The sequence below is a fragment of the Homo sapiens genome, chromosome 6, assembly GCF_000001405.40.
Source record: "Homo sapiens chromosome 6, GRCh38.p14 Primary Assembly".
Lineage (NCBI taxonomy): Eukaryota > Metazoa > Chordata > Mammalia > Primates > Hominidae > Homo > Homo sapiens.
Genome location: NC_000006.12, coordinates 91649951 through 91673458, shown reverse-complemented (window position 1 = coordinate 91673458; position 23508 = coordinate 91649951). Strand labels below are relative to the sequence as shown.

Sequence of the window (23508 nt, the reverse complement as noted above, 5' to 3'; positions counted from 1 at the left end):
ATATTTGGAGGAATCGCTCTGCTTCAAGATATTCAGGTTCATTAATGAACATTATCCATCTGACACATTTGGTAAACACCAGAGCTTCAGAGAACAGCTCATCAGGGATAAGCTGGGCCCTCTAGGCTCACTTGGAGAAGCTCATGAACTCACTACTGTTCACCCTCATTAGGCTTGAGATACAGAGAAAAAAAAATACTGAAAACTGCCAATATTTGTAAGTTAGAATTTAGAGTCTAATGTCTTTTTTTGTCATTTTGTTTTTTGGTATGGAGATTGGTAGATGAGAGAGAAAAGAATGCTGTGTGGAAGTTCCTATAGTTTGCCTTTGGAAAATATCAGTGTTAAGTTCAGAGAAAAGAAAAAACAAGGTAGGAATAAAAAAAAAATTCTGATCAGTTCCTTGGATTTGAATTAGGAACATCTTTTAGGGAACAAATATTATTGAGAAAAATCGGTAAAAATATAAGTATTATTTTCCCCAAAATGACGCTTTCTTTATGGTGGTCTGTAAAGCAGGAGCCATGGACCCACATTTAGAGATGATCCATGCACCATACAGCCCATAAAAATTTTCAGTAGAACTGAATTAAAGCAAAGTTCCTAAAACTAACCTGATTTCAATTGTATACAACTTTGGCACTTCAAATTAAATAAGCTTTCCAGCAAATTGCAGATCAAAAATATTTGAATATATAGGTCATTTTGTAGATGTAGGATACATAATCATATTTTGTATAGTCTTTACCCGGAAATTAAGAGATTTTAAACCCAATTATCAAATAATAACTTTAACATTGTAGTTATCCATATTTTATCATTTTAAATTCTTTTATGTTAATTTCTTCTAGCACTTGACAAAATATTGGACATTTCTCTTTGAAATCATAAAAAGTTCCTAAAACATGTAAATGCAGTAAGGTTGCTCATTTTAAGGATATAGGAAGATTCAACCTCCTGAATCCCCCAAAACCCACACATTCCAATAGTGTGTCCACTGAGGTTATTCAGACATTTGGTGCAGGCTGTAAAAATAGGAATCCGTTTATATTCCCCAGAAGAATTTCTAACTACCATGAAAATGGAAAAACAATGTGGTTACTGACAAAGAAGTTGGAACCAATTCAGGGTGCAGACCTACATCCAAGAGAACTTTGATTCTTACTAGAATCAATAATCTTCATTTGTCAAAAATTATTTATCTTCTTTCATTTTTAATTTGGGCATTTATAAGAAAATCAAAATAAATGTAAATGGATGGATAAAATTACTGTATTAACAAAATAGGTTTTTTTATGATAATTTAATAGTTTTCTGAAACTTAAAGATACAGTTGGTCCTCATTACAGATTTTATATTTGCAAATTCTAAAATGCACTCATACCCTCAGAATTAATATTCATGTTACTTTTGTGGTAATTTGTGTTTATGTACACAACAGTGAAAAATTTGAGTCACTCAATGCTCACATTCCTAGTTGAACAAGACGATTCTCTGCCTTCCTATTTCAGTTTTCATACTGGAAACAAGTATACTTTTTTCAGTCTATTTAGTGCCATGTCTTATGCTTCTTTTTTTTTTTTTACCTTTTGTTGATAATTTTAGTATTTAAAATGGTCCCCATGCATAATCCTGAAGCACTCTCTAGTGTTCTTAGGGAAAAGTAGACTGTGCTATGACTTATGGAGAAAATACATGTGTTAGATAAGCTTTGCTCATTTATGAGCTATAGCATTTTGGCTGTGAGTTCAAAGCTAATGTATCAAAAATACATATTAAATAAGGTGTCTTTAAACAAAAAAAACACACATAGAAGAAAGTTATGTATTGAACAGTTGATAAAATTGCGACCAGAGGCTGCCAGGAACTTAACCCTGTGTTTCCTCTAGGAGCAATGGTTCAGTATTCACTAATTCAGTGTTTGCAGAGACTTTACAGGACATAACTATGATGAATAATATGAATGTGCTGTATATATATATATATTTTTTTTCTGATAAATCCTTTCAGGTGAGACTAAAACTGTTGGCATTGCTCTTTACTTTGGCAAAGCACAAATTCAATATTCTTCGTAACCCAAAGACTGTTTGCTATGATATGGTTCATTTCATATAGGAAACAAATGCAGTATTATAAACATCTTTTCCACTTTTCTTTAATAACCTGAGTAGTCCAAAGAATGTATATGCAAATTAATGAGGACTATCATTTCATAGGGATAACTCACATCCAAATATTTTTTATTGTATTTTGTGTTGGTAAGTCACATTAAGATGTGATTGTCCACTTGAGCCCAGGAGTTCAAGACCAGCCTGGGAAACAGGGCAAAACCCCATCTCTAGGAAAAATAGAAAAATTGGCCGGGCATCGTGGTGCATACCTGTTGTCCCAGCTACTTAGGAGGCTGGGGTGGAAGGATTGCTCAAACCTGGGAGGTCGAAGCTGCAGTGAGCACTGATCACAACACTGCACTCCAGTCTGGGTGATAAAGTGAGACTCTGTCTCAAAAGAAAAAAAAAAAGAAAAGAAAAAGGTAATTGTCATATCATTTTGACCTACTAAGAGATAGTCCATATTTCTCATGTTAAATAGCATAAAATATTTGTTATATATATTAAATCTCACACTGTATGTACATGTGTGTAGCCTTACATTTATGTCTTATATTTTCATCTGTAGAAACAAAACACTATTATATATAAATACACACATGTGACTATTTTATATGTAGGACAATAAACTCAGATAAATTTGAAGATAATTATAAACTTGTTACAGGTGTAATCCAAAGAAAACAATAAACTAGTACTCACAAAGTAAGAAATTGAATGGATGAAAAATAATGAATTTATGGTACTTCAAAACAATCGGCAATGTATAAGAGCACCTGGTTAAAATAATATTTGCAAGAGATAATTAAATTTTTGTTTCAGGACTGTTAGTTGCAAAGAAACTCCTGAAATTTTCAAAGGCTGACTAGCAATTGTTTAGGAATTTTCACACATTTGAACTTGATATTGAAATCAATGGCCTACTTCCTCACTCTCTAAGAAATACCTCAGTAGGACATGCAGCATCAAATGGTAAGAAACACATATATATACATAAAACTACATTTAATTTGTAAATATTTGGAAACAAAAACCCACTGAAGACCATAACAGGAAATGCCATAAATTAGAATAGGCTGAAGAAAAAGAAGTGAGTATGGGAAAACTAGAAGATCTTCTAGGTAATCATTAAATTGATCAGGTCAGTTTGGATGGGAAGTGTGGGTAGGGAGAGAGGAGACAGTGGTGATGACGTGGGCACAGAGCTTTAATCTGGGCGAGCTGGAGATTTCATGCCTGTATACAATGTTTTCCTTTGAGAGAAATCTTTACTTATCTCAGACACTCTTGCCTAGGATTCCTACTGTAATTTGTCATCCATAGGTGGCCACTCAGCAAGCAGCAGAGCTTAAGAAGCAGCATTTGTTGTTCCAAAAAGATTTCTGGGTAGTTATACCATCAGACCTGTCATAAAAACCAAGAGCACTGATTTAAATTCTTCGGTGTGTTACTTAATTACCTTTTTAATTAGGATAAAATGTCTTTTCACCCTTTGCTATTTGAATACCTCCATCCCTGCTTTCCGGGCCAAGTTATAAATACACTGCAATGAATAGCTCTCACTCCCTCCCCTCTCTTTCCCCACTGAGCCAGCTGCTCCTGTGTGTTCAACTGTCAGTATCAGTGCTGCAGAGACGCTCCAAGTGCTCCCTAATAACTCGGGGAATCGGTGCCGCTCATTGCGGAGGCTGACAGCTGAACACAGCTCAGGGGAACTGAATGTGCAGGAGGAGCAGAAAGAAGAGGGTGGATTGATTCTTTGAGACGCAAGGATAAAATGCCTATGAAAAAAAGCCATGACTCTGCTTGGAGGTTGACTAGGCTAAGGGCCAGGAAATGTGTTAGTCAAAGTAGAAAAGGAAGAATAAACCTTCAGTTTAAACATAGAAGAAAAGATCATTTACAAGAACTTGCTTGTTTTCATGGAAACGTGTAATCAGGGTGGAGAGAATCAGGTGTCTATTCTGTCTTCTGGGACACAGAACTGGGGGACAGATGACGGAGGTTGAGGACCTGCCAAAAGCCTGACTCCCCTTTAGGGAATACAGTACCAGGCTGAGGAAGAGCCTGAAAGTTGCTCTTTGCATGGTCTCCATGAGAACTTCTAGAATTGTAAAACATTCTACCAAGAAGTGTCCTCAGGTACACTTTTAATTATTTTTACTTGTAAAATACCCATAATTCAAAATTAATTATCTTATCCATTTTTAAGTATACAGTGCAACAGTAATAAGTCCACTCACATTTTTGTGCAATAATGACAATCTACTATCCATCTTCAGGATGCTTTTAACCTTGCAAAACTGAAACTTCAATACCTGTTAGACAATAACTCCCCATCTCCCTCCCTCAGCCCTTGGCAGCCACCATTCTACTTTCTGTCTCTATGAATCTGATGACCTTACGTAAGTGGAATCATATGGTATTTTCCTTTTTGTGACTGGCTTATTTCACCTAGCACAATGTCCTAAAGGTTCATCCATGTTGTAGCATATGTCAGAATTTCCTTTCTATAAAGGTTGACCAATATTTCATCGTATGTGTATATCATATATAGTCTATCTCTTCACCTGTCAATGAACTCTTGATTTGCTTCCACATTTTGTCTAATGTGTATAATGCTGCTATGAACATGGGTGTACAAATACCTTTTGGAGATCCTGATTTCACTTATTTGAGGTACTTACCTAGAAATGTAATTGCTGGGTTTTATGGTAATCCTTTTCTTTAATTTTGAGGAACTGTTTTCCACAGTGGCTTCACCATTTTACACTTTCATCAGCAGTGCACAAGGGCTCCAATTTCTCTACATTCTTGCCACCACTTGTTATTTTCTGGGTTTATTATTATTATTATTATTATTGGTAGTAGCCATTCTAGAGTGAGATGACTTAGATACAATTAACTTTAGCTTCTTTATTTTGCACATGAAAAAATATTGGGACAGAAATTCTTCGGCTGCATAATTAGTAGTGGAGCTGGAATAAGAACCCAGGTCTCTCGGTCAACAACCTGAACTCAGGCTTCCAAAAATGGCCCAGTTGTATTTTGTTTTGTAATTCATGGTATAATGTGTCTAACCAGACTAAAACTATACTTTAACTTACCCTATCTGGACAATACATATTTTGAGACTATGTCTCTGGCCTCCTGAAGAATTCGGTACCTAATAGGAAAGCAGGTGCACATGGAAAATATTCAAAAAAGAGCTACAATTTAAACACTAACCAAATGACAATATTCATGGTGCATATAAATGCTGAGAATGTGTAGAATAATGAGGGTAGAAAGCAATCAACAAAGTCCTCTGGCAATTCTATAGAGCAGCTAAAATCTAATATTTTACTATCCACAGTGTGGGAGAATATACAGTAATAATGGAATTGCAGTTGAAAAACTGTGAGATCAAGTTACCAGAAAATGCATACTGTAAAAATTTCTTATTTATTGTTGTTGTTCTTGTTAATGTTTGTTTGGAGGAAAAGGTAATACATAGATTCTAAAATGTTATTTTCGGGTTTTGAGATTCGTTTGTACAACCAATATTAATTGAATTCCTGCTGTGAGCCAGGTGCTGAGGAAATAGCACCGAGAAGACAAATAAGGCTCCTGCTCTCCTGGAGCTTATTTTCCAATAGAAGGTAACTTTTAAAGAAACAGCAAATCAGCACACTAGGCATTGACTGCGGTAAGCCAGAAGTTCCAAACTGGTCATCAACAGGCCAAATATGATTAGCAGATGGCCAGTTTTGTTTGACTTGCATAGTATTTGTTTTTAAATTAAATTAGATAACATTCAAAATTTGGAGATATTCACCTAAAAATCCGAATTTCTGGCTTTTGCTGGAAGATTGAGAAATTTGACAAAACTTCAGGATAGTCTAATGGGTTAGGTGGAAACGTCCTGCTGTTGAAATTATTTTATAATTAAAACTTGAAATTTGAGAGTTAGCCAGGCATGTGCAGTTCTGAGGAAAGAGCACTCAAAGCAGAAAAGAAGCCCCAATTCCTGGAAAACTGCAAAAGCTGGGCCAATGAGGCAGCAGGTTACATAAAGGACTGTCACAAGACTTGATGAGAAGTTCAGTTTTGCTATATCAGTGAAGGATGCTAGGCCAGAAAGACATATAGGGTGATTTCTTTGTTCCCTGTATTTTCTAAATATGTCAGTTTAAAGATCTATTATCACCTTTATTATAATAAGAGAAATCTTATTTTAAAATATACAAAGAAAAATATTTTCTTGGTGCATATGTGTTTTAAGTAAGACTTAGAATAGGGAGAAAAATAAATCATTGTAAAACAAGGTCACTATAATGTTCTTATTAAGTGAAATTGTGACCCTAAATTGAAAGCCATTTTCTATCTAGACTTTCCCCCTATAGAGGATATGAGGGTGACGAGATTGGCTTGATCATTAGGGGTTAACTGGGAAACTGGCAGGAGTTAGTAACACACTGAATGTCACTCATCTCTAGGTAGGCCAAACTTATCTGATTTACAAAGGTAACACCAAGCACTGCCCTAAATCGCAAAATATGAATGCACTCGATATTCTTTAGGAGCAAGAGCTTTTGATTTAAGAAAAAAAAAAATGAGTTTTCTATTCACCGAAACAGAAGTTTTTAAAGTCTATGGAAAGAATGGAAACAAAAGAAGAGAAAACATGTAACATAAAAGATAGCATTTCAAAGGAGTCATGCTAATAAGCTCGACAATATTCAAATAAAACTGGTCCCTGTTCAGGGTCAAGTTTTACAAAGAGCATCCATGTAACTGATGGATAGGTTAACTCAAACAAAGGCCCTGGGCCTGGGTCTAAAAATCTCTTTTACTGGAGAAGAACTCCACGATGCCATAGAATTACAGTACACTGCCTACTAGACTCATCTGGCCCACAATCACCTCTAAGAGAAAACCTGTGAGAGGGGAAATTCAGAAAAAGAAAAAGAGTCAACGAGAATATCAAGGCAATTGGGATGGTGCAGTTCTTCCAACTGAAATTTTCTTTCATAAGCTCATTTATAACTGTGTGTGTTTGGTTGTTTTTCTGAAGTGTTTTCTTATAATTTTCAGGAAATAACCAGATAAAAAACTGAAATGTAAGCAATAGGCAGCAGACAATTTGTAAAATATTTCTGTCATAGTAAGTTCCATTGTACATAGAGATCTCTGAAGAGTACCATTGGCCACAGGATTTAGTAATGACTTATTAAAATAGTTTGTGGAAACAAAATAATAGACTATTAATCAATACAAAGGTATGAATCTGAACTATGGATTAAGCTGAGTTTGTGGGGTTGTTGAAATGATATTATATTATACCAGCTGAAAATACATATGTGAATTCCTATGTATTCTTAAAATCAGCCCTAAAGTTGACATTCAATAAGATAGGAAAAGTTTATGTCTGTATAGGTGAAGAACCATGAGTCTTTTTACAGAGATTATCAGTCACTATACCTTAATTGTAAAATCAGTTACAGGAATAAATAAGATTCTGTGAATAATCAACAATTAATGATCAAAAATTATTTTCTAATATTCTTCTTTCCTTAGTCAAATAAATCACCAACTCCTATCAGGTCTATATTTTTAAAATGTCTTGGTTTCTTCACCTCTGCTTTATCTACCTACCACTGTTCAGTCCATATATAAATTATATTATACCTGAGATATTATATAAACCTGACTATGCTATTATCTGTTCATAGTCCTTAAACTTCCATTCCTTTTGGAAAAGAAAATAAAAAGGAAAAAAATATTTAGCCTGGTATGGAGTATAAGAGCTGTTATGTTGTAGCTCCTAGGTGTGTCTCTCTCATCTCACCTCTTGCCATTCTCATCTTACACACCTGCATTCCAGGAACATAAAATTATTCAACAACTGCTTTATTGAATGCCTATTATGTACTAGGCTGAGTATATGGTGGTTCTTGTCCTCAAATTCATTTCTTCTAGAAAGCACAGAAAAGATAGTAAATTATAATTGTAACTTTTCAAGAAAGCTACACAGCAAAAATAAATGGCAATATAATACAAAATAATCAGTAAGGGCCAGGTGCAGTGGCTCATGCCTGTAATTCCAGCACTGTGGGAGGCCAAGGCGGGCAGATCATCTGAGGTCATGAGTTTGAGACCAACCTGGCCAACATGGCGAAACTCTGTCTCTACTAAAAAAATACAAAAATTAGCCAGGTGTGGTGGTGGGCGCTTGTAGTCCCAGCTACTTGGGAGGCTGAGGCACGAGAATCACTTGACTCTGGGAGGTAGAGGTTGCAGTGAGCAGAGATGGCGCCACTGCACTCCAGTCTGGGTGACAGAGTGAGACCAAAAAAAAGAACAAAAGGAAATAATCATAATAGGGGGCTTGGGTAGTATTCATTCAGAGAGAAGGAGTTTGTAAGGTCTCTGCAAATGAGAGATATCTGAGTCAAGATATGCAGTTTGAGAAGGAGCCGGCCATTTGAAGCACCAAGGACAGGTTGATTCACATAGGGGAAACAGAAAGGAAAGAATCTAAGATGAGGCAAGAGGTGCCTAGACTAGGATGAACAAGTGGTCTCATATAGGAGGTTCTTAGAGACACAGGGAGTTTCAGGTCACATAAAGACTTTCAGGCTCTGATGAAGAATTTAGATTTTATACCAAGTATAGATAGATTTAAGCAGGAAGTGACATGAAAAACTTTCTAAATATTTCACAGTAGCCACAATGTAGAGGATGTGGTAGATCTGGAAAGGTAGTAAAAACACCACTCTCTGCTCTCTGTACTTCTCTACTTATTCCTGCCTGATCACGACTATTTATGGCCAGGAGACTGACATAAGTCCAAGAGCATTCACTTACCCAAGTGACTCACTGGGGACTTTGAACCTGAAAGAGAGAGAGGAACCAAGGGAGAACAGTTCTGATATACCCTGCAGAATGTGCTTTGCACCTTGGAGGCTCCTGGAGTGTAATAGACATGACAGCCTGCTCCACCTCAGCCATGTACCATGGCTTATTGCTTGAGGTTTCATGAATCTCTGATCCAGTAACTTTCTCAATGGACCAGTGAAGAAAATAACAATACCAGTAATACAGGTAAATAATAATAGCCACAATTAACTAAATGCTGCCCACAGGCTAGGTATTTGTGATGGACACTGTATTAGTCTGTTCTCATGCTGCTAGTAAAGGCATACTCAAAACTGGGTAATTTATAAAGAAAAAGAGGTTTAAAGTACTCACAGTTCCATGTGGCTGGGGAGGCCTCACAATCACGGTGAAAGGCAAAAGGCACATCTTACATGGCGGCAGGCAAGAGACAATGAGAGCCAAGCAAAAGGGAAAACCACTTATAAAAACATCAGATCTCATGAGACTTATTCACTACCACGAGAGCAGTATGGGAGAAACAATCCCCATGATTCTATTATCTCCCACCAGGTTCCTCCCACAACAAGTGGGAATTATGGGAGCTACAATTTAAGATGCAATTTGGGTGAGGACACAGCCAAGCCACATCAGATACATTATCATCATTAGTGCTCTTATCAACTCTGCAATGTAGATAGTTTCTCCCACTTTCAAAATGATAAACTTTATGGGTCTGAGCAGATGTTGAATCTCAAGTGGTGAAGCCAGCATTCAAACTTCAGTCTTGCCTGATTTTAAAATCCATTTTCTTTTTATTACTTTTCCCAAACAAAGAAGGTTTTATTTGGATTTTTGTTATAGTTTTGTTTGCAAAACTCAATAATTTGACACTTTTTATTTCTCCCCTTAGTTTCTATAGCACTTAAATAAACAAAAATCTATCCCTAAAATTTTCATGTCCAAAAAATAAGCAAATAAATACAATTATAAGAAGTATAGAAAAAATTAATAAAAAAATTGAAAAATAACACATCTCCCCGACATTAAAATAAAACGTTAATAACAAGAAAAAGGAGATCAATAAGTGGTTTGGTCTAATTTGGTTCTCCCTGGATGGACAGCACCAGGTGGCAAGAAAATGCCTTAAAGTAGATGAGTGTCATGCTTCCCTCCCTGAACTTAGGCTGCCTTGTCAGTGTAGTCACCTGGAATGGCTTCCAAACGGAGCTTATGTACAACAGGAACAAAAATGAAGTCCCTTAGGGTTGAAGCTAAAGGCCAACGTATGCTCTAAAGTGTTTCAAAACTGGTCATGGTGCTTCTGGTCTTGAGAACATCCCTGACAAGGTGGGAATGAAGGCTGCATGCTCTGGTCATAGGTGCCGATGGGGCTTCCATCACCTCCAGTGTCATTGGGCACCTAAAGAGTGTGCAGCAGGCCGGGCACGGTGGTTCACGCCTGTAATCCCAGCACTTTGGGAGGCCGAGGCAGGCGGATCACGTGAGGTCGGGTGTTCGAGACCAGCCTGACCAAAATGGAGAAACCCCGTCTCTACTAAAATTACAAAATTAGTCAGCTGTGGTGGCTCATGCCTATAATCCCAGCTACTCAGGAGGCTGAGTCAGGAAAATCGCTCGAACCCAGGAGGCGGAGGTTGCAGTGAGCCAAGATTGTGCCATTGCCCTCCAGCCTGGGCAACAAGAGCAAAGCTCTGTCTCAAAAAAAAAAAAAAAAAAAAAAAAAAAAAAAAAAAAGAGTGTGCAGCATAATTGAAGTTCTAGAGCCAGACTTTAGACAAGGCAATAGTCCTACAAACACTCCCTGGCTATTTGCCATCTATCTAAAGCTACTCCTAGCTTCCATTTTTTAAATATTTCATTATTGAAGAATCAGAGCAGCAAAGTCAAATGTCTCATAGCACTCATAGCAGATAATTATTTTGCTAGGTGACGGTGGCAGCCTCAGCAGAGGGAAAACAGGAATGACTTATTAACATTTTTAGATGATTGACGACAGGTGTCTTCATTTTGGCAAGGGAAACTTTTAGTCAACTGAAAAGGCATGGGCTTTGGAGTCAGACTACTAGATTTCAATGAGGACTTTTGAGCTATGCTGTGACCTTAGCCAGGTTAATTTAATTACACTAATTTGCAAAATCTCATGTTTACAAAAGGAGAATAGGTAGTTTATAACATAAGAAACGGTGTATAACATATAGATGGTGCTCAATAAATATTTGTTTTATTTTTTCTTCTTCTTTAAGTAGTTTCTTGTAGCAAAAGAGAGTTTAGCCATGGAAGCCTGCTTATTAAATGAAGTATGTTGAAAAAAAAAAGAAACCACTAAGGAACCATGTGTCCTTCACCAACTCATTTAACACCTCTTAGTCTTAGTTTCAACATTTTTCAGAGAAAATTATATCCCCCAAAAGCAATTATAGAACAAAAGATAAGAATAATTATGATTCACATGATCTTTATTCAGAGATTATTACTCATAGAGCTTGAGAAAAAAATGTTGAAAAGCCAGGTACTTTGATTATTATAATGTTCTCATATTTCTTACTGGGCCTATGAAATACCAAAAATAAACACTAAAGATAAAAGATATTTGAAAGCAGTGCTATTCCTTTGGAAGTTACTTCCTTCCAAAATTTAAGAGGATTCTGATGTTCCCTTAGATTACTTTTTGTGAGAATTGTTTTTATAGAGATACATATGTACATGATTCTTAGCTATTAGTACTAAAATGTGTTTTCTCTCTGAGATATAAATGATGTTCAAAGGCCAATCACTCTGCACAAATGTCACCATTCTCAAGATTGATTTAGCATTTCTTCAACCTGCAACAGATTCTTAAATCAGTAATACTTGGAGACACCATGCACATCAAATGTACTAGTGGAACGCTTACAAAATCAATGAATGGTAGTCTTGTGAGTCTTGTTATGTCTATTTTATTGATTGAGTTTTTATTATATCTGTAATTACAGTTCAAAAGTACAATTTGATGATCTTTAAAAAAGTATTAACTCTTAAATTCTCTTAACCTATAGGGGCCTTGACTGTTTCCTTGCTCCTATTACTCTATAGTTTAACCTATTTCACATCTAAATAAATAAATATGCTTCAATAAGACAGCTTTCTCTGAAATACAAGGGCTGCAGAGGAGGGTTTTGATTGTAGTAGTCAGAGGTCCACTTATCTACATGGAGTAGTACCTAGATGGGCTCTTTTTACCCAGAATTTTATGGGAATAATCAAAGGATTCACTGAAATTTATTTATCCCACACGCTCTCCTGAGAGCCATGCCTTCTTGCTAACAAATTGGTGATAGTCACCTGTGGCATGGCCAGCAAGGCAAATGGCTGTGGTTCAGTATTACCCTCTTCTGTTCTCCCACTTTCTTTTTCTCCCACAAGAAATGGACTATTAAGAATATCTGCTCTTTCAGTTCCCTTATTACCATTTCATACTATAGTTAGAATTCATTAAAATATATCTCACTGTAGGCCATGTAGATGATGGCCACTTTAGAGGTAGTCAGTTGCCCAATTACAAATTCACTCCAAAAGTCATCAAATATCTAATTAAAAAATAATACACTCCCAGATGCCATTTTTGTTGATCAAACATGGTTGAATATTATCAATTTCCTATGGTTAAATGAATGTAATAACTTCAGCAATTCATAACTTTGATCAGCATAGAGCTTTGCTATTTAGGTTAATATATTTTTAAAATGTGCTTTCATTGGTAAAATTGGTGATTTGACGCAGATGTTAATATATTTTAGAAATCAGCTTTCTCAATTAAAAGTAGTGCTATTCAGATATGTGGACTGGCTTAATTATTTCCAAGACAATCTCTATTCTCTCATGAGAAGCCTATGAAACTCTAGCAAACCCCTTAGGGCATACCCTCAGGAATGGTGACTGAGGTTTGATCAAGGGTCTTGTGTCCAGCATTGGTTTCTGGAATATTGTCATGTCTGGGGCTTCAAGTACCTCTTTTGTGCAAAGCATAATAGTAGCACCTACAAAGATAAGAGACTGGGGTTTTGTTCATCTCAAATAGTAGGTATTGTTTAAAATGTTTTGTGCCTTTTTGCTAATAAGTGACTGTTTAATATATGTCAGTGTAGGTGGCAGAATTTGATCCATGCTTTTATTATTATCTGGTTGGGAAGTATGGGAATCAGCAGCTACACTCTCACCAAAAATACCCTAAGAGTTGTGTGCATAACTAAGTTTTCTTAGGTCATTTTGTGTTATAATATTTTGATTTTTAAAATGTGTCCTTGATCAAATTGCAGTCTTTGTGAAGTAATTACTCATCGGTCTCCATGGAAGACTTCCCTTCCTCCCATATGCCCTTCCCTGTGTTGAGTGGCTCTGAAGCCATGGTTCATTGACTCTAGACCAAGTGTTCTGTGTTAAAAAGCATATGATTTGTGTCAGCTCTCAATGGGATCAGCATGCTGTTTGAGAGGATTTAAACTGTTTTCAATGGAAGAGTCACTTATTGCTTAGGGATAGAATTTCAAACAGAGATCCCTTTACTTTATTTGAACAGTATGGGATGGTAGCACTCTGTGTTGGCACTATTATTCTTTCCCCTTCACACACCCAAAGTATGGGACATCGCTGCTTTATGAATTCCTGCCCAATATGTTGGAGGCTAAGTCATTACATGTGTACATTCTCTAAATTCTATTTCATAAACTATGTGGAAATGATGTACCACATGTTGTTGCGTATATGGACAACACATTATCTTGTCTTAATCTTGGATCATACATGCCAGAGCCCAAGTTCCCCGATTCTAAGACACTGAGGTTTGCATCAGCTGTCATTTGGATATAAGCTGCTCCTATAAAGGGGGCATAGTATTGGGCAAGGAAGCTTCTTCTAGCCAAGAACAATTTCTAAAGAGAGGCTTCGTTATGAACTGTTAGCAGCAAACTCAGGAATTTGAAGAATAAGCACCAAAGTCCTGAATGGGAACAGAGGCGGAACATCACAGCCATCACCTTCGATTCAGTCCCAGGTTTGGACTATTCCTAATATGAAGTCCCTTCTTTTACCTGCGTGTACCCCCTGGTTTGGTCTTGACTGAATCTCAGTTTTTCCCTTGATTTCTCCAGTGCTAGCCTAATGGTCTGCATTTCTCCACCTCTCCCTCTCCCTCTGCTTATAAATATCATGAATCCTGAAGGGACACCACTCATCAAAAGAAGAGTAGAGTCTCCTTTTCCTGCTCAACATCAGCCCAAACTGCTTATAGCACTTACAAAGAGATGTATGAGAAAAAACAGTAGTGAAGAGGAAGATAGTACTTCTTAAATAATAATCTCTGCCTCCTCCACTATGAAGATAGAAACAAAAGAAAAGACCGAGAGAGAGAGAGAGAGAGAGAGAGAGAGAGAATTTGAACAGGGAAACAAACACCCCTGTGGAGTAGGAGAAGCTAAAATACAAAGCACAGGAGTAAGTCAAAAATCTAAGTCACTTAGTAAGTGAGAGAATAGCTAAGTGCTGAGAAAAAGTGGTCAAATGAGCTAACAACCAGGAGGTTAGAATTATACCAAAGTGAAGAAAGGAAGCTCTAATGGGAAAAAAAGGTGTTCAAGAAAATGTTAGCTTATTTTGATAGAATATTTCTGGAAGACAGAGAGAATAGAAAAGAAGACCCTGGACTGATCAACAAGACAGATAGAGTAATTTCTGTCACCCTTAGGGCTAAGCAAAAATCGTGGGTAACATTCACCCTAAAGACTGTTCCCATTTCTCATCTGGTTTACATGATTTCACATTAATGCAACTCACGGTCAGCGAATGCAGGAGTGTGATTAAGTACAATCCTAATACTTTAAATAAAAATGTAATACTTTAAAAAAGCATAGTCTTCCAAAATTTCCAGATAACATTTTAAAATTTAGCCTTTTATTTAAATCACATAATGTGGTATCCTACCAGTTTTCAACTCATCAATTCTCCTTTCATTCAAATTACTATTGAAATGTAACTTCCATCGTGAAGTCTTCTCTGATAAGAAATCTTTTTCTTTATGCTGTTCGATCTAATCGGAACATGCAAATGCAGTGACACTCTTACTTATCTCTGCTCTGATTTCATATACCCTGAATGTGTGCCCGATTAAATTATGCAGTCAGGTTTTTATAGAAATCTATTCCCTAGTTCTTCTCATTCAGATCACCAAGCCTACAACTTTGCAGGCAGCTTTAATGCCAATGGACTACTGCAGAATAAGAAAATGGTAAGGATGGCACAGTTTGTCACTCAAAATGATATCTGTTTTAAGTGTCATTGTGACCATATCTCATTCAAAAGAGTACATACCATGCAAAAGTCAGATGTCCTTGTGAGGGGCCACTAGTCATCTCTCAGACATTTTGTTGAATTCATTCATATCTATATCTACATCTACCAGTGTGAATATCACTATCTCTAGCTCTGTAATATGTACATCTATATCTACAGATACAGAAATAAAGATATAAAAGGGACAGGGGCTACCCATCATGTTTAAATCCAAAAGCAATGATCTTCACAGATTTTCTCAGTGCAGAAGAATGTCCCTGTGGAGAGGTCTATAAACAGAATGACAGTGCAGTCACGATATTTTATTCAGAAATATCAGTGTTTATTTTTAAACAAAAGGGAAAGCTCTCAAGACCCATTAGTTTTCTCTTAAAGACAGACAAACTTTACCAACCTCCTTTGGAAGCTGTGATAATTTTCATAGTACTCTAGATGATTTCAAAAAGAACAAAATATAATGAAGTGCTGCTCTTACAAACACAAATTTTATAGAAACCCTTGGACTGGCAGCTTTGGAAATTCTTCTCTCAGGGGAAGTAAATTTAAGTGGAGCTGCACTTGAGTTCAGTTTGTATTCCCCTCTCAATTACCATCAATACAGCTGAATCAGGAGCTACACCAAAATTCCTGAGATAGCTTTTTAAAAATCTAAAATAAAAGAAGAAAGTGTTACTGCAGACAGAGGTGAAAGAAGCCTTGATACAGGAGGGACAAAATCCCTGGACGGAGGGAGCTGAGGGCATGAAATAATGAAACAAAACTTGAAATACCCAAAGCAGGATATGTGCATCAGAATTATTGTTCTTTCTTCTAATTGTTTAGGGCTGCAAATATTTGATGTGGTTTTGCTTGACTTAAGATACATGGTAATTCTTTAAACAGATATATAATAAACAACCTAGATGATTATCATGTAGGAAAGGAACGGTTAGTTAGCATAATATATTTGGGAGTTGCTCCTTTTTGCGTGATTAGAAAACTCTTCTGGACGATGTACCCCAGGCATCAAGGAGTGGTACAGTACCTCATCATGGCTTATTGCTTAAGCATGCTGCAGGCAACTACTATATCAGCATTTAATGGCTCAAAACAATAAGATATGTTTGTAAGACACAGAACATTATTCAGCAGTGCTTCTCTATTACCAATAGATAGATTATTGCTTGAGCTTCAAGTTTTCAATAAGTAAGAAGCATTTTTACTAATTAAAATTGTGAAAGTAACCTTCAGAACTGGTTGCTTGATCTAAGTAATTCCAAGAAAACAGTTCATTGATGATATTGGCATAATCTGATATTTATGAAATTCTAGCTTTTCTATAAATATTGAAATTTAATGTCAAAATTGAGTAATTAGAAGTGGAGGTTTTAATCTCTTATTTACCTTCAAGCCATAACCAAGATCTGCAAGCCTAGCTACACAACAAAACATTGAACTATCTTCCAGAAGCTCTAAGCGCCAATGTGAGGTTTTTATAAGTGCCATGCTTAACATAGCACTAAGAATACCCATGGGAGCATCATTAAAGTTGCCCAGAACGTGCATCTTGATGCATTATTTCTAGTCTGACAGCTCTGCACTGCAAAACACATTCTGCTTCACACACACACACTTGTCAGTACCATTGCAGACTTCCCTCTGTTGACCCAAGGTACTATTAGGCGGGTCTGAATTGTGTCCACACAGCAAGGATCTCAGTCTGTTAGATAATAGAACCAGGTTTGTTTGATTACAGAAATATCTTTACAGAAATATTTTTGATTACAGGCATATCAAAAAACAAATCAAATTTGGTCCATATTTTATAAATTGATCCAACAAATCAGCATCAGATTTGTGATGGTAAGTGTATAATTTGCATTTTGATTCTCAATCCTTCTGCCACAATATAAATTTGCTAATTCATCAGAGTTCATAGTGAGGATTGTGCTGAAAACTGTGAATATAAAGATGAAACTGACCAAGACTCCAGCAATTACATTAACATATACAGATGCACAAAGTTGGTGGAGTTAATTTGGTAGAGTTAATACTTTGGTTCAGTTAGGACTTTGCAGTGAGCCAGATCTGAGGTTGAATCTTGGTTCTGCAGGTTACTATATCTGTAACCTTGGGCAGACTACCTCATCACCATAAATTTCAGTTTCTTGGTTTATAAAATGAAATTAACAAAAAACCTCACCTCATTGGGTCATTTTGAGATTTAAACAGGGTAATTACGTAATTCATTTAGCATATTGCTTTTCTTATAACAAATGTTCAATTAATGTCAACAAATGTTAAAAGATAACATTAACCGATAATTTTTTTAAGCCAGACTTCAGATTTTGGATTTAAACTTCCCAGTATATGACAATGATAAAGGACCTAGTGAAAGTGAGAAATATGGAGAGAAGTGATGGATAATGGATGTTCCTCTACAACCCGGCCCCTTTAAGTTCCACATCATAGGGCTGTTCAAGAACATAATAACAAGCCACAAACACAACCGCCCTTCAATAACATGAAGGTGAGCTGCAGGTAGGTGGGCAGAGGGGCCACAAAAGTGCAATGAAGCACAATGGGAGGAAACATAAAATAGCTGTTGATCACTGGGAAGTAGTAACAGCAAACAGGCAGTGCTGGCAGGGACCAGTCAGAGAAGAGGGGACTCAGAGGAAGGGAGACAACGGAGCTTCCCATGAGGCAAATTTGCTGAGCTCCAAACAGCAGGAGGCTGGGCAAGTCATCTATAGGATTTCCCCTTGTACTCTGGCCTGGGGTACTGTGAAAGTCAAGCGGTCTTCTCTGTCTCTGCAGTTGGTATATAGATCCAGACAACATCTCCTAAAGACAACCCAGTAGAGTGAAAAGAGCAGAGGCTGTGTGTTTTTACTCACTGTTCCACCACCTACCAGTTCCGCGAACTTGGGCAAGTCACTTGACCTCTGCAGCTCAGTAGCATGGTCTGTGAAATGTGATGATATTGCCAACCCAGCAAGCAATCAATGGTAGTTTCCTTGTCTGATTCCCTTCCCATCCCCACGTTACCTAACATTTGCCATATTTATTTATGTTTTTATTTTGGAACAGAATCCAGCACTTAAAGCACCTGGAAATTAGCGGGGTAAATCCATTGCTTCTTGGCACAGGAGCCGATTTCCTTTCTCTGTAACAATGAGGAAATCATCACATCACCACCCATCATCCTGCTGCAATCATTTCAGCGGCAGCAGAAATCGTTCCCATTCTTTATCTCAGGATTACTTTTGTTCTGTGAAGCTCTCTAGAGCTTCAAAATTCTTGGTGCATTTGACGAATTTTGCTTTAAATCCAGATCCCAGATGCAGAACTGTATTTATTTTTTTTAAAAAATCCCTGGCAACCAAACTTCAAGTCTTTTAAAACCTCAAGGAAAGGCTGTTGTCATTGGTTTTGCCCTTATCCAAATCTGCATGTACTTCTTGACCACAAATTAGGTCACGGATAAGTTTGGAGCTGCCAATCAGCCTTGGATTCATCAAGCATTTTAAACTGCTGGTGCTGCAGTACAAACGACAGTGTGTGCCACAGATAACAGTATCATTTGCATAGTTACAATCAGTTAGTGATAGAATGCCTGAGAGGCAGAAGGGATGCATGGCAAATGCAAAGTCACTTTCAGATTTGCATTCGTTTTGGTTTTAAATGGGGAACAGAGGACTTGACAGAAAGGGGCATTGCCTCCTGTTCAGCTTGATTCAGTGGAGCCTGTGCCTATAGAGCATTTCAACTCTTTGAAAGTGTTTTGTGATCTTCCTATGAGCTATTCTTCTCAACAATGTATGACATAGCTAGTAGGCATTATTATCTATAATTTAGTGAAAGGGAAGTGAATCAAAAACAGGTTGAATGACTTGTTCAACACTGCAGGAAGTCACAGCCGAGGCAGAGGAAGAACCTACAGCTTTGTGCTGGCTCCCCATCTGTTGCTAAGCCCCATTAGCTGTGTTTCCTACCTGTAACCAGTAATTAGCCAAACTAAGCGCTGCCAAATAAGGACATTGCATTGATTTTTTTCCAGCATTTTCCCTCTTCTGAACTTTGTCATTTGACTTGCAAAACGTTATAAAAATAGCCTTTTCTCTCTCCCTCCCCCAACAAAAAGAGCCCACGGGAACAATAAAAAGAAGAGTGAGCTGAAGTTCATTTATTCTGAGGATTGAAAGCACAAGGAGTTAATATTTCTAAGTGCTGTGGCGGATGCTGTGAGAGAGGCTGGTAAGCCTTGAGAGAATTGTGCTCTACTTAAATGACAAGTACCAGGATCTGATTGATATTCTGTGTAAAGTTTTCCCCAGTTACATGGTTTTTCCTTGGCACCTATGATTTATGGAATATCCCTGTATTAATTAGGTATATGCTAGTATTTTGGAGGGTGAGGGAATAAGACAATTATCTAGCATCGAATTGCATAATATATACAATTTATTGAAAAGACTTGAGTTTAGAAACTGGGAGAAAAGTTTAAACACTTTCTTCAGGTGCCATAATGGAAAATGCTGTCATGAATAGATAGCAATCCCCTAAATATGAAAACAAAAAAAGTAACTTCTTTAGTAGGAAAAAAAAATGTTAAAAACCACAGCAATCCCTGACTCAGCAAACATGAGCAGTTGATAAATGCACCTGCTACCTTGTCTAAAGCTGATCTAGCCTTTTCAGGATGGCCTTATCAAGTTAAGATCTTGTTGGAGAGTAATGAACATGAGAAAAGACGCTGCTCCTCAATTGCTCATCATTAGAGCACTGTACGCGGCTTGAGGGAGACCAGGGACCAGGATAAATCAGTGCTTTTAACCTCCTGATAATTGGTGCTCAAATTGCAGAATCCGGGTATTATTCTTGGCTAAAGTATCTGCCACATGGCTAGACAGCTGTATACATTAATATGTTGAAGATAAAGTGATGCCAGCACTTATCCTTGCAAAGCGAATTAGCAGAATTGGTTTACATGTGAAAGTGACCCAGTATGTCACACTGAGCAGTTTCCTTGTACCTCAGTTTCTCCCACATGTAATAAGAATGACAGTTACTTCTGAAGAGGGCAAGTGAAAGCATACAAGATATGAGTTTACTTTTAATTGAAGGTCTACATAAATGTAAAAGCAAACCTACATTTTGCTGAAAGTTACCTATGTGAATGAAACATTTGTTAAATACCTACTTGTATGTAAATTCTAGGCCATTACAAAAGGTATTTCTAAATATCACAAGAAGCCTGCAGAACAGGTGACTTAGGATGAGCGGCACTATTCACAATAGCAAAGACTTGGAACCAACCTAAATGTCCAACAATGATAGACTGGATTAAGAAAATGTGGCACATATACACCATGGAATACTATGCAGTCATAAAAAATGATGAGCTCATGTCCTTTGTAGGGACATGGATGAAACTGGAAACCATCATTCTCAGCAAACTATCGCAAGGACAAAAAACCACACACCTCATGTTCTCACTCATAGGTGGGAATTGAACAATGAGAACACATGGACACAGGAAGGGGAACATCACACACAGGGGACTGTTGTGGGGTGGGGGAAGTGGGGAGGGATAGCATTAGGAGATATACCTAATGCTAAATGATGAGTTAATGGGTGCAGCACACCGACATGGCACATGTATACATATGTAACAAACCTGCACGTTGTGCACATGTACCCTAAAACTTAAAGTATAATAATAATAATAATAATAATAATAATAATAATAATAATAATAATAAAAGAACGACCTGTGTATGTTGCTAAAGATGAGAGTGGTGAGATCTCTGATTGTAGGGTCAGATAGCAGAGCTCCAGAGACCCTATTTGAAATATTTTGGCAATACCCAGGAAATCCAAAAACGAGCACCTCTTTTTATTATCTGCAGTCTCTTAGTCTTGCTCAGTCCTCGATCAATTTTTTTTTATAAAGCTATTTCCAAGAACATTGAATCTTCCTCCTGTTTGTTATTTTTCTGTCAGACTCAAGTGTGGCATCCTTGGGCACCCTGAGGCATCCAACCACAGGTTGACAGGACCCCTGCTGTAAGTAGCAGATAGGCTCCTTCCACCCCTAACCCATTCTAAAGGTTCTGGCTTCTTTCCCTAACTTCCACTGTAGTGATAGAGGTAGAATATTCTAAGAACCCGGAGCCATGGGCTTGACATTCATTTAATGTTCATAACAGGCAAGGCCTTCGTATTTACAATTTTAGGGTGATGCACTTAATAATTTGTGGTAGGCCCAGAAGTGCATTATTATGGTTTTCTAGTGTTTCTAAGATAGTACAGAAAGACTAGTGGTCATAATTACTTAGCCTAGCTTAGGAACGGGTCTGCTGATGAGGAGCAATCCCAGGAAGTCTCAGATCCTTTTCTAGGCTGTGAGCAGCAGTGGGATGATTATAACGCCCAGAGTGGTCACTTTGTTTGCCATAGACCTATCTTTATCTAGTTTGCTTAAAAGGAATCCATCAGATTTCTTTGTTCCCATCTTATACATATTCATTTATACAAGATGGACAGGATGCATTGCACAATGAACAATTCACTTTTCACTAAATCTTTCCAGGATATAAACATATATAAAATACATTATTTTACAAACAAATATCACAGTTGGGCTGCCATATAATAAGATGATTATGATTATAGGTTCTGGAATTGGTTTCTGGGATTTTTACCTGTGCAGTTTAGAAAACTTTACTTCATTTAAGTATTTGGCTTCCTCTTGTATAGAATACAAGAAAAATAGAATCTGCATTATAGGGTTATTTTCCATAGTAAATTTGATAATGTATATAAAGCACCGAGCAAAGGTCCTAACACATACTGAACACTTGACAATTGTTTTTAAAAGTACATCTGTATAAAGGTATACAAAGAGCACTTACAATGGAAGCAGTGCAGCTCATTGGTAGAATAGACACCTTGTGTAATGAATTTACTCCATTACAATAGATATCTCATCCAAGAGGGAAAATGTGTAGATAGATTAAAATGGCTTCCCCTGCTCACACAGTGATTGATCAAGCCAGAATCAATTCAGGAATCCAGTCCAGCTTGTCTCTACACATAGGCTCTTTCAGTCTTCAAGCTCTGCCTCTAATAACATAGCTCTGTCTGCTATATGTATAATTAGCATAAACAAAAAGCAAAGAAATAAAATAAAGCTTCCTAAAAACTGCTGTCACCTTCATCCCACTTCCTTTTTCCATAATTCTTTATAACTCTTTATCCTTTCATTATCCTGGAGGACAGACATATAAGGCTGGTTCTGACCACCTGATTTTTACTGTAGAAAACTTACTATTCCTACAATTCTAGATGGATAATGTTTATAGGGAGTGCCACACCTTATGGGACTTTGTAATTTTAAAGAAGATTCTTAAAGACTAGAGTGTATAATATTCAAGAGAATGAGTCACTATTTGCAGAATTTAAGCATTATAACAGAGGAGGCAAGAGAAAACTAAGATATAAGGAAAGTAATACTTTGTTTTAGTTGAAGAACTTTTCTAAGATGCTCAAATCTTCAGGAAATTGCCTGTCGCATATAACACTTCTCTGCTTATAGTTTGTTTTATTTTCTTTTGGTTTCTGTTTTCCTGCTGTACAGTACAGAAGTTCAAATATTGTAATCATTTAGAAAAAAATCAGTCACCCTATGACTGGTCTATGAAAATATAGGCTAGATTGTAAAAGTTGTTATTTTAAAAAAAAACAACAAGCAAGCATAAGTCTCATTTGCCCCACGAAATTTTATGATATTCTATAAAATATTTTATCATATAAAGACAAATCAGCATTAGATAACCTTTAAAAAGGTCATTTTTATAAGTAAAAATTAAGTGAGCATAAAATGATGCTTGATAGATATTATAATTTAGTGACAAGCAATATAGTTCACATAAAAATAGTAATTAACAATAGGGCCTTTAAAAAATATCATAGAGGGCCAAGCATGGTGGCTCATGCCTGTAATACCAACACTTTGGGTGGAAGAGGCAGGTGGATCACTTAAAACCAGGAGTTCGAGACCAGTCTGGCCACATGGCGAAACCCTGTCTCTACTAAAAAACAAAAATTAGCTGGGCATGGTGGTGCACACCTGCAATCTCAGCTACTTGGGAGGCTGAGGCATGAGAATCACCTGAGCCTGAGAGCCAGAGACTGCAGTGAGCCG

At 37.0% G+C, this 23508-nt stretch overlaps 1 long non-coding RNA gene across 1 annotated transcript in view, besides 1 other annotated feature; it reads left to right on the top strand.

Moving 5' to 3' along the window:
- Window positions 1–23508, top strand: part of CASC6 (cancer susceptibility 6) — a 61389-nt gene that overhangs the window by 16970 nt on the left and 20911 nt on the right. The window lies entirely within an intron of this gene.
- Window positions 18701–19210: an enhancer, noted in NCBI's record as "NANOG hESC enhancer chr6:92363967-92364476 (GRCh37/hg19 assembly coordinates)". NCBI's record gives its function as "activates a minimal SCP1, AML or CMV promoter by ChIP-STARR-seq in naive H9 embryonic stem cells {active_cell/tissue: H9 hESC(naive)}" and the evidence as "EXISTENCE:reporter gene assay evidence [ECO:0000049][PMID:30033119]".